General features: G+C 55.6%; 1 long non-coding RNA gene across 1 annotated transcript, besides 2 other annotated features; it reads right to left on the bottom strand.

Moving 5' to 3' along the window:
• Positions 1 to 266: 266 nt before the first annotated feature.
• On the bottom strand, positions 267 to 6757 carry LOC124903060 (uncharacterized). The gene is made up of 2 exons (XR_007063546.1): positions 4357 to 6757; positions 267 to 1147 (listed from the first exon to the last, which is right to left on the bottom strand). It is a non-coding gene; the product is annotated as an uncharacterized LOC124903060 (long non-coding RNA).
• Positions 1510 to 2074: an enhancer, noted in NCBI's record as "H3K4me1 hESC enhancer chr12:133042035-133042599 (GRCh37/hg19 assembly coordinates)". NCBI's record gives its function as "activates a minimal SCP1, AML or CMV promoter by ChIP-STARR-seq in primed H9 embryonic stem cells {active_cell/tissue: H9 hESC(primed)}" and the evidence as "EXISTENCE:reporter gene assay evidence [ECO:0000049][PMID:30033119]".
• Positions 1670 to 1789: an enhancer, noted in NCBI's record as "active region_7377". NCBI's record gives its function as "activates an Ori minimal core promoter by ATAC-STARR-seq in GM12878 lymphoblastoid cells {active_cell/tissue: GM12878}" and the evidence as "EXISTENCE:reporter gene assay evidence [ECO:0000049][PMID:35858748]".
• Positions 6758 to 12256: the final 5499 nt, after the last annotated feature.

The raw sequence follows: 12256 nt of genomic DNA, 5'->3' as shown, positions 1-12256 counted from the left end.
GGCGTTTTAACACAGTGACTGCACCATTTCACATTCCTGCCAACAATGTGTGAGAATTCCAATTTCTCTACATCCCCAACATTTTCCTTTAAAAAAAAGAAAAAAGAAACATAGCCATCTAAGTGGATGTGGAGCAGACTGTCCCTCTGGTTTGGGTTTGCGTTGCTTTTATGGCTCATGATGTCTGAGTCTCTCTCCATGTGCTCATGGGGATTCGTATATCTACTTTGGGAAATGCTTATTCAAGTCCTTTGTCCACATTTGACTGGGTTGCTTGTCTTTTTATTTCATTTACTACGATGACAGCCCCTACATGGAAGGATTTTGTTTTTGTAATCCCATTACCCCGAGGTGAGAATGAATTGCCAGTTGCTCAAGGCCTTCAGCTCTTAGGGAGGAGCCTGGACCTGGAGCTGCTCCGGGCTCTGGCAAAGCTCCAATCCCGGCCTCAGTCCTTGAGGCCTGGTCCTCACCCAGCTTTCTCCTTCCACCGTGCCATGGAGGAAGCCCGACCTCCCTGCACGGCTGGCCTGGGGTTGTTCACGACTGAGTCCAGGTGTCCCCAGAACGGATGTCACTGGTCACAGTGTTCCTGGTAATAGGTGACCCCAGGCACAGGGTGTTCCTGATCATAGGTAACCCAGGCACAGGTGTCCCAGTCACAGGTGTCTCCAGGCACAGGTGTCCCCAGTCACAGGTGTCCCAGGTCACAGGCGTCCCCAGGCACAGGTGTCCCTGGTCACAGATGTCCCCAGGCACAGGTGTCCCAGGCACAGGTGTCTCCAGGCACAGGCGTCCCAGGTCACAGGTGTCCCCGGTCACAGGTGTCCCTGGTCACAGGTGTCTCCAGGCACAGGTGTCCCTGGTCACAGGTGTCCCCGGTCACAGGTGTCCCAGGTCACAGGTGTCCCCAGGCACAGGTGTCCCCGGTCACAGGTGTCTCCGGTCACAGGTGTCCCCAGGCATAGGTGTCCCTGGTCACAGGCACCCATGGTCACAGGTGTCCCCAGGCACAGGTGTCCTGGTCACAGGTGTCCCAGTCACAGCTGTCCCCGGTCACAGGTGTCTCCAGGCACAGGTGTTCCCGGTCACAGGTGTCCCCAGGCACAGGTGTCCCGGTCACAGGTGTCCCCAGGCACAGGAGTTCCTGGTCACAGGTGTCCCCAGGCACAGGCAGCCACAGGAAGCCGATGCAGGGAACAGAGAGAAACAGAGACACAAAGAAAAGAGAGTGAGAGACAGAAGAAATGGGAAACAGAAATGGTTGGAGAAAAGCATCCAGTAGAGATGAAGAGAGAGGAAGAGGAGGAGGGGGACGGGCAGCAGAGACCCAGGGAGGCTGCAGTGCCTGGACCCCTCACCACACTTTCCATTCTGCCCTTCCTGGGGAAGACTTCCAGAAAAGTGGGCCAGGCTGAGGGGACGATGAGGACACAGAGGCCCCAGGGGAGGGAGGGAGGAGCGGGCCACCCGGAGGGGCTGTGGTCAGCTCAAAGCCTCTGGAGTCAAGGATAAATCCTCTGACCTTTGACCTCCGACCTCCCTCTCCTTGGCTCCAGGCTCCCCACACAGCTTTCCATGACCAAATCTTACAGGAAGCTGAAGGGCAGTCCGGTGAGGGTCTGTAAGTCACCGCCAGGGCACAGAACGGAGGTTGGCAGGGGAGGAGAGACCCCTGGGCTGCCGTCTGCCTTCACCCTGCACATCAGGCCTGTGTGGGGGTGTCACCATCCTTCACTCCCTGGCATCTGATCCAAGATTACGCCTGGCAGGGCCTCTCCTCTGGGATTAGCTCCGGGAAAGCTCCCATCAGTGAAGGGAGGGGCTCAGGCTCTGTGCACACAGGGGTGCCCCCTTCCAGGGAGGGAGCAGCTCTCCCACATGGCAGAACACTCATTTCCTGTCAGTGCTCTCCTGAGCACACAAGGATTAAACTGAGCAGCAAGCACTCCAGGTGGCCGAGAGGCCCTGGGGGATGGGCCCCTTGCCCTGGCCTCCCCTGCAAGGCAGCTCCCGCCCCGGGGCCCTGCCTCTGAGAGCGAGGTGTGCAGGCTCTTCCTATGGGCTACCTGGCCCATCCCCAGAACGGCCTGCACTGTCCCTCCCCGACCTGCACCCAGACATGGACACTCACCCTCCCCAACCCCTGAGACATTCAGGTCCACACTGGGGCCTGGGCCCCCTCAAGTTGCATGGGGACTGGGGTGCCTTGGCGCCTCTTCTGTGAGTATTCCTACACACAGAGCCTGCTTCCTCTCCAACCTGCACCTAAACATGGACACTCACCATCCCCAACCCCCGAGACTTTCAGGTCCACACTGGGGCCTGGGCCCCCTCAAGTTGCATGGGGACTGGGCTGCCTCGGCGCCTCTTCTGTGAGTGTTCCTACACACAGAGCCTGCCTCCTGTCCGGGTGATGTTGGGTCGTCCTCCGCCTCTGGGAGCACCTGCAGGGGCTGTTGCTCTGGGCTCCCTGGAGATGCAAGCCCCCGGGCCTGCCTGCCTGTTCTGTGTGTATTCACTAAGCCCATGCCAGCGGGGGTCTCCGCAAGAAACAGGCACAGGCTGTGAGGGGGCTAATGAGGCCTGACTTCTCCAGGGGCAGGCAGGACGGGAGCCCATGAGGGTTGCTGAGGACCCAGGGATGTGCACTGTGGGAAGCCACCACCACCCAGAAGCCGGCAAGGGCAAGGGAGAAGTTAGTGGTGCCAGAACATGGCTAAACGAGGCAGCCATGGAAAGGGGATGCAGACAGGAAGTGGAGAGGAAGGCGGTTCTCCAGGAGCCCTAGGACCTGCTCTGGGGCTGCTGCTGCTGAGCCCAACTGGGAACCAGAGCACAGGATAATGGTGACACTGGTGATGATGGCGATGGAGATGATTATGATGGTGATGATGATGGTGATGGTGGTGATGATGGTGATGATGATGGTGACGGTGGTGATGGTGATGGTGATGATGGTGATGATGGTGACGGTGGTGATGGTGCTGATGATGATGGTGATGCTGATGGTGATGGTGACGGTGATGATGATGGTGACGGTGATGATGGTGATGATGGTGATGGTGATGCTGATGGTGGTGGTGGTGATGATGGTGGTGATGATGATGATGATGATGGTGATGATGGTGATGCTGATGGTGATGATGGTGATGGTGATGATGGTGATGATGATGGTGATGGTGATGATGATGATGGTGATGGTGGTGATGATGGTGATGGTGATGATGATGATGGTGATGGTGATGATGATGGTGATCGTGATGATGATGATGGTGATGGTGATGATGGTGATGCTGATGGTGATGATGATGATGATGATGATGATGATGATGATGATGATGATGATGATGATGATGATGATGATGATGATGATGATGATGATGATGATGATGATGATGATGATGATGATGATGATGATGATGGTGGTGATGATGGTGATGGTGATGATGATGATGGTGATGATGGTGATGCTGATGGTGATGATGATGATGGTGATGGTGATGATGGTGATGATAGTGACTGTGATGGTGATGATGGTGATGGTGGTGATGATGGTGATGGTGATGGTGACTGTGATGGTGATGGTGGTGATGGTGATGGTGGTGATGATGGTGATGATGGTGATGCTGATGGTGATGATGATGGTGATGGTGATGATGGTGATGATGGTGACTGTGATGGTGATGATGGTGATGGTGGTGGTGATGATGATGGTGATGATGGTGATGGTGATGGTGGTGATGGTGATGATGGTGATGGTGATGATAGTGATGATGATGGTGATGATGGTGATGCTGATGGTGATGATGGTGATGATGCTTATGATGATGGTGATGATGGTGATGGTGATGATGATGATGGTGACTGTGATGGTGATGATGGTGATGATGGTGATGGTGATGATGGTGATGGTGATGGTGATGCTGATGGTGATGATGGTGATGGTGATGCTGATGGTGATGATGGTGATGGTGATGGTGATGATGGTGATGATGGTGATGGTGATGGTGATGGTGATGATGGCAATGGTGATGATGGTACTGATAATGATGGTGATGCTGATGATGATGGTGATAGTGCTGTTATTTAATCCAGTTCAGATTCCTAGTTAGGCTCCCCTGTTTCTCCTCAGGCACACTGTGGGTCACTGGCTGGTATGTATGGGTGGTCAGAATGCCTGTGTCCAATCTGTGTTGTACTCTTTTTCTCAAAGAGAACTCAGCTATGCTTTCACAAGGAGGGGGTTGTGGGAGGAAGAGTCTGCCAGGAGAGAAAGCTGGATATGCTGGCACCAGGAAAGAGCCTCTTAGTTTACTGTCCCCAGGCAGCATCCCCATCCACATCTGAGCTCACCTTCTGGGTGCTTGCCCAGGGGGCCTTTTGAATCTCAGCATCTCTGGAACAAGACTAAGGCTGGGAGACATCTGGAGTGGAGTTTCTGTCCAGCAATGGCAAGTTCCCTGCTGAAGCTGAGAATGGGGAAGGCATGGCTCTCAGGGCTGAGCGCCCTTGTGCTGGGCGGTTCACCCGTCAGCAGGAAGGGGGAGGGCACTTTGCTCTTCATGGTCAGCCTTATGCTGTGGGGATTTCCTGAAGAGCGCACCTTAGTATTTTGCCACCCAGCTTCCAGTCATTCTTTGGGTTAATCAAGAATGCATTCAGCTGCAAGTATTAGAAAACCTAGTAATTAAGCAACAAAGGCTTTTGATTCTCTTAATCAGAAGCTCCGAGTTACAGTATTTGAGGCTGGTTAACCAGTTCACCCATGTTTTCAGGGGTTTGCTCTGCCATCCTCAGGGTGTTAGATTTTTACCTAACTGTTTTGGTGAGGTATAACACACTAACAGAAAAATGCACAGCTCCTTGAATTCTCACAAAATGTTGTGTGTTACATGTTACAAATGTAACAATCAGGAAATAGAATATTACTAGCAGTGTTGGCTTTTGTTTCTCCTACTTGATGTCTTATTGACCCAACAAGGCTGCTGCAGCTCCAGGCATCATGTCCACATTCCAGCACCCTGTGCAGAGAGGCAAGTAAGCAGTGGTGTAGCAGCCAGAGCTCCCACCTGGCTTCTCAAATCTCATTGACCAGAAGAGTGTCTCATGGCATTGCTTGTGGTGAAGGAAGCTGGGAAAGTGGAAATCAGGCAAAGGGGATGGATTTACTGTGACTGTCTCAACCCAAATAGAATTCATCACAAGGCTGGGGGATGGAGTCTATCTTTCCTGAGACCAAGAGGTTTCTGCCTCTTATTGGAACAAAACTGGGGTTCTCTGAGCAGGACAGAGGAGGCGCGGGTGGCTACGTGGTGGGCAGTAGCACTGTGTACCATGCCCTGCCTTTGGCAACAGTTTCCCATTTTCCTCTGGGAAACGCTGCTCTCCTGTGTTCCGCCCATGAAGTTAGGGAGGTTCAACTCCATCCTTGGGTCCAGGTGTGAGTGTGTCCCTTAGGCGTTGCCAGTGGGAGCACCCCGTTCCTCTTTGCCCCACGATTGGCCCAGTCTTGGGGCATGGCCCAGGACCTCGATGGCAGTGAGTGGAATAAAGTTCCCTCCTTCCCTCAGGTCTTGGGGCAGGAGGTGTAGGCTTGGGTTTTTGTGTGCTCGCATGGAGGATGGTGGGCAAAGACACAGAGAGACAAAGACCGGAGGACACCGGTAGCCTCTGGATGCATCCATACTTGAAGCTGACGCTGCTCATGGACTTCACAGATGCACGGTTCATTGCATTCCCTCACTGCGTAAGCTGAGTTTTCTGCCACAGGCCACATCTTACTGGAAGAATGCTGTCTGGAATGCCACTATCACCTACCAGAGCTGAGGGAGCCACAGAAGGGGGATGCGACCCAGTTCTCCAGCTCCTGGGCCTCGAGCCCTGATCCTCCCTCCCCAGGCTCCTGGCGGCCCCTCACTCAGGGCTGAGGCCACGAACTGCCTGCTCAGGTCAGGAGACAGACTTGAGGGGTCTGGCACCCACAGCTGTCAGGAACCAAGCTGTCCTTTTCTTTGTTTATACATCAAATATTTCCTGAGCTGCCCTGAACTCCAGCATTTATCTCAGGTTATGGAGAACCCACAGGTGAACGAGCTTCCAGACACCCGTGTCTCTGAATGTTCCTTTTTTGCTGTTGCTGCAAATGGCAGACACCCAACTTTAACTTCAACTGACTTGGGCAGAAAAAGGGCCACACTGGAAGGATCCTGGAGGTTGTCCAATTGGAGGAAGGCTGAACAAAGAACTCCTCAGGAGGTCAGGTGTGGGTGGGCCTCAGGAGCAGCTGGAAGGGGGGTGCAAACGTGCTTCATGCGGTTAGGACTTGTTTTGTTTTTTGTTTGTTTGTTTTGAGATGGAGTCTCGCTCTGTCACCAGACTGGAGTGCAGTGGTGCGATCTCGGCTCACTGCAACCTCCACCTCCTGGGTTCAAGCAATTCTCCTGCCTCAGCCTCCTGAGTAGCTGGGACTACAGGCACGTGCCACCACGCCTGGCTAATCTTTGTATTTTTAGTAGAGACAAGGTCTCACCATGTTGGCCAGGCTGGTCTCGAACTCCTGAGATCCAGGTGATCTCGCCCGCCTCGGCCTCCCAAAATGCTGGGATTCCAGGCATGAGCTGCCGTGCCTGGCCTATGGTTAGGAATCCGTAGCTGCTTTTGCTGCTGCGTCCCTCTGTCTCTCTGTCCCGTGTCTTTCCAGGCACAGCCTCTTCCCAGGCGGCGTGAAATATGGAAACGTGCCCTACAGCACCCCCTGTTGGAGAGAGGTGAGCTTTCTTCCACAACCTGGTTCCAAAGTCCCAGGGAAGGGCTCTGATTGGCTTAAACAGCAGTGTTGTTGAGATACGTATAATTCACATACACGATTTACCCATTTAAAGTGTAAGATTCAGAAGTTTTTGGGATTATTTTTTAAGAATTGTAAAATATATATGGCATAAAATGTGCCATTGTAACCGTTGTGAACGTGCCTGGAGTGGCCTTAATTCCAGTCACACTGTTGTGCCGTCACTGCCACCATCTGTTTCTGAGTCTTTTTCATTGCCCCAAAAAGAAACCCTGTGACTGTTAACCAATAACTCTCCATTCCCTCCTCCGCAGCCCCTGCTGGCAATGGATAATTTTTTGGTTTCATGCACCTTTTGGGATGAACTCATGTGAAAAATCACTGTTTTGGCCAGGTGCAGTGGTGCACGCCTGTAATCCCAGCACTTTGGGAGGCCGAGGTGGGCGGATCACGAGGTCAGGAAATCGAGACCATCCTGGCTAACATGGGGAAACCCCGTCTCTAGTAAAAATACAAAAAATTAGCTGGGCGTGGTGGTGGGTGCCTGTAGTCCCAGCTACTTGGGAGGCTGAGGCAGGAGAATGGCGTCAACCCGGGAGGCGGAGCTTGCAGTGAACCGAGATTGCGCCACTGCACTCCAGCCTGGGTGACAGAGTGAGACTCCGTCTCAAAAAAAAAAAAAAAAGAAAAGAAAAAAAGAAAAATCACTGTGTTTCTCTGACGTTCTAATTTAATTGGTTATCCTGTCTTTTACCCGGCAACTCTGCCTAGCAGGGGGTGGGGGCCGTGAGCCACAGCACCCTCCATAACACAGTCTGCTGCTTTGGGCCCAGCTTAGGGGGCTGAAAGGTGAGGCCTGGGTGAGCACAGGGTCCACACGGTGGTCCGGCATGGTGGCAAGGCCAGGGAGGGCCTGCCTGGGATAGAGGTGCGAAAGGGGGAGAGACAGGCGGAGAACGCTGCACACTCAGCACTCGGCTCTTTGCTGGAGACTGGGTTTTCTCTGGTTGGTTTTTGTGTTCATGAGTGTCGTGGGCACTGGATGCCCCCCCGACCCTCCCCACTGCTGGGAACGCTGGGACGTCACTGCATGTGTCCTCAGCCGTGTCCTCCCCAGGACTGCCCTCCGCTGCAGAGAGCCCCCCTGCACAAGGTTACACCCCTCCCAAGGTGGTCTCAGCCTGGGGCAGTGCTGACAGCGTCTCAGCCCAGGGCGTCCTGTGGGTCGGCCGGGCCGGTTGGGTCAGCTGCACTCTACACACCCTGCCTTCCTCACCTCCTACATCTGCCTCCTAAGATCACGCCCTGATAAACCTGCTCCCAGCCCAGCTCCTTCGCAGGGCCTGTCTCCAGGAGATCCAAGCTAAGACCCGAAGTACGTGGGCGGCTTTGGGAGTTTTGCTTTCTGTGGCTCCTCCGGCCGCTGCTTCCACGGTGACGGGCCTGAGATGGGCTGGCTGCTGCCTCTGGCCTTTCCTCATGTCCGCCGCTGTCCGCGTCTGCTTTTTAAACATAGATAGGATCATGCTTTGAGTTTATAAAGGGACAAAAATGTCCTGTGCCTTCCAAAGGTTCAGCAGACACAAAAGCCTTTGTGTGCTGAGCAGTGCGGAATAGAACTAGACCACACAAAACTGGAGAAATCGGGCTGGGCGTGGTGGTGGCACCTGTGGTCCTAGCTACTCCGAAGGCTGAGGCCAGAGGACGGCTTGAGCCCAGGAATTCCAGACTGCAGTGAGCTAAGATCGCACCTGCACTGCAGCCTGGGGGACAGAGCAAGACCCTGTCTCTGAAAGAAAAAAAAAAAAAAAAAAGGAATTTCAAGAGAAATTTGATAAAACCCATCACAGGGGAGGCATCCTGCCCTCTCCGGACAGGACAGGTGCGGTGGCCATTGGCCATTCTTTGCCTACCCAGCATCTGAACCCATATCCTGTGTAGGGAATTCTCCACCTCACGGGCAGGTGGGACGCAGAGGCAGTGTCTTGCTGTTAAAGCCAAAAGTGTGATGCTCAGTTTCCTGCCCCCCAACCCCTGAGGTCCCAGGGGCCTGTCCCAGGCTCAGCTTTCGGGCACCACCACTCCTGGACAATGAGCTGGGAGCGGACGGCATGGAGGGTGCACTGTGGTGGGGTGGACCCAGCAGAGTGCAGCCGGGGCCTGAGGCCAGCACAGGGCTGAGGTGCTGCTGGCAGCGTTCATATTTGCACTCAGCCACTAACCCCAACAGATCACTCCATCCCTCGGCCTCAGTCTCCTCACCTGTAAAGGGGGAGGATAGCAGCACCTCCCTCGTGGATGCTGCAAAGACCAGATGAGTTAAAGAAGTGTGGAGAAGAGTGCCAGACACACAGGGAATGCTACGTGTGTGTGGGAAATGCTCAATCAATACTGACAGCACACAGAATGTTTGAAGGAGCGGAAACCGGATTCGATATATACCTGTATTCATAAGGCTGAGATTTCAATACGTATCTGCATCTCTCTCTACTTAAGATATGAAGCTTCACAGCCATCTGTCCACCCACCTGCCCGCCCAGCCACATCACCCGCCCATCCACTCACCCGCCCACTCGCTCACCCATCACCCACCCACCCGTCCACCCACCTGTCCACCTACCCACCCGTCCATTCACCCACCCACCCACTCACCCACCCACCCGCTCACCCGCCCGTCCACCCACCTGGTCACCTACCCACCCGTCAACTCACCCACCCACCCGCTCACCTGCCCGTCCACCCACCCGTCCACCTACCCACCCGTCCACTCACCCACCCACCCGCTCACCCACCCACCCGCTCACCTGCCTGTCCACCCACCTGTCCACCTACCCACCCGTCCACTCACCCACCCATCCGCTCACCTGCCCATCCACCCACCTGTCTACCTACCCACCCGTCCACTCATCCACCCACCCACTCACCCGCCCGTCCACCCACCCACCCACTCACCTGCCCGTCCACCCACCTGTCCACTCACCCACCCACCCGCTCACCCGCCCATCCACCCACCTGTCCACCCAATCCACTCACCCGCCCATCCACCCACCTGTCCACCCAATCCACTCATCCACCCAGCCACTCACCCGCCCGTCCACTCACCCACCCACCCACTCACTCGCCCGTCCACCCACCCACCCATCCACTCCCGCACCCACCCACCCACCCAGCCATCCACTCACCTGCCCGCCCGCCCACCCAGCCACTCACCCGCCCATCCACCCACCTGCCCGCCCGTCCACCCACCCACCCACCCACTCCCCCGCCCGTTCGAGCCCAAGGACTGGGGGGCGTGGAAGCCAACGGAGCCCTCTCTCCCGACGCCTCACCATGTGAGAGCTTCCTGTGGCTGCCGGAGCAAGTGACCGCAACGCCGCACAGATTTATCATCTCGCAGCTCTGGAGGTTGGAAGCCCAGTGTGGGGCGAGCAAGGCCGGTTCTGCTGGGGCCTGGGGAGGACCCGCCGCCTGCCTCGTCAGCCCCAGGAGTGGCCCGTCCGGGCCAGGCCCTCCCTCCGTCTTCAGAGCCTCGGCGGCCGCAGAGACTCCCTGCAGCGTCTCCCGGCCTCGTCTCCTGCCTCCTCCTCCCCATTCGAGGACCCTTGTGATTGCACTGGGCCCACGGATAATCCGGGTAATTGTGTTTTAAGGTCAGCTGATTAGCAGTTTTTCCATCTGCAGCCTTAACTCCCCCGCCCGGTAACCCGACACAGGCGCAGGCTCTGGGGATTAGCACGGCGGCCACGTCTGACCTCCATCCAGCACGAGCTCCCTTCTCCACGCAGAGGCACCTTCTTGGGTGCTGGGGCCGGGATGAGACTGGTCTGGGGCACGACTCAGCCTCATCAAGTCCTGGGGACAGCACCCAGCACCAGGAGCTCCACACCCCCCGGCCAGGTGGTCCTGCTCAGCCTGGGGTGAGGGCAGGAGCTGTCTCCTCACTCTGCTCCACAGGACCCTCAGCCACACCAGGCCTCTCGCCCCCATGGACCCCTCGCCCTGTGGGGCCCTGACCTCTTCTCTGGCAGATGAGTGCGCTGGGGTCCAGCGTCTGAACCTCACTTCTGCTGTGAGACTGTGAACACCTGTGCTTGCCGAGGGTCTGTGAGCCTCAGGTGCAGGGAGTTGCTGTCTAGGCCCCTCTGCTGAGCTCCCCGGGTCACCTCTGTGTCGGTCATCAGCTGCTCAGCTGGGCGGAGGTCTCACCTGGCCTCACTCACACATTGGGAGCTGTTGCCGGCTGCCGCACGGTTCCTCTCACGCAGCCCTGAGTCCCCAGGGCTTCCACGGCACGAAGGGAGAGTGGACGGCCTCCCGAGGTCATGCCCCATCCTAAGGTCAAAGCCAGATGCCAGGGCAGCTCTGACTGGAGGGGAAGCAGACCCCGCACTGAGCTCCATGTTCATACACACACACACAGATTCGTGCACACCCACTCACACCCGTGTTCACACACACGCGCCCACAGGCACACAAGCGCACACACATCCACACACACACGTCCAAATGCACTGCGGCAATGCACATGCATACATATCCACACGCATCACACACGTCCACACACACACGTCCAAATGCACTGATGCAATGCACATGCATACATATCCACACGCATCACACACGTCCACACACACATGCAGACACCACACGCACACGTCCACATGCACACATCCATGTTCACACACACGTTCACATGCACACACGCGCACACACATCCACACACACACGTCCAAATGCACTGCTGCAATGCACATGCATACATATCCACATGCATCACACACGTCCACACACACATACGCACACACATGCACACACACATCCACATGCACATGCATCCACTTGCATACACATGCCCACATGCACACATCCATGTTCACATGCACACACACGTTCACATGCACAGACGCACACACACACAAGTCCACACACACATGCAGACACACCACACGCACACGTCCACATGCACACATCCATGTTCACACACACACGTTCACATGCACACACACGCACACACACACAAGTTCACACACACGTCCAAATGCACTGACGCAATGCACATGCATACATATCCACACGCATCACACACGTCCACACACATACGCACACACATGCACACACACATCCACATGCACACGCATCCACTTGCATACACACGCCCACATGCACACATCCATGTTCACACACACGTTCACATGCACACACATGCACACACACACAAGTTCACACACACATGCAGACACAACACACGCACACACATCCACATGCACACACATATGTCCACACGCACACACATCCACATACATGTTCACACACGTTCACATGCACACATACACAGGGTCTGCTGTTGGCAGGCATAACTCATGGATCCTAGACCTTTCTGTGGTCCCCAGTCGGTGTCTGTCCAGGTGCTGCTGTGAGGTTGGAGCTACTGCCCCCGGCTGTTCCTGGTGGCCCTGACCCCACTCT

This window comes from Homo sapiens, chromosome 12, assembly GCF_000001405.40.
Source record: "Homo sapiens chromosome 12, GRCh38.p14 Primary Assembly".
NCBI lineage: Eukaryota > Metazoa > Chordata > Mammalia > Primates > Hominidae > Homo > Homo sapiens.
Note: the sequence above shows the minus strand (reverse complement) of the source record. Positions and strands in the feature narration are given on the sequence as shown.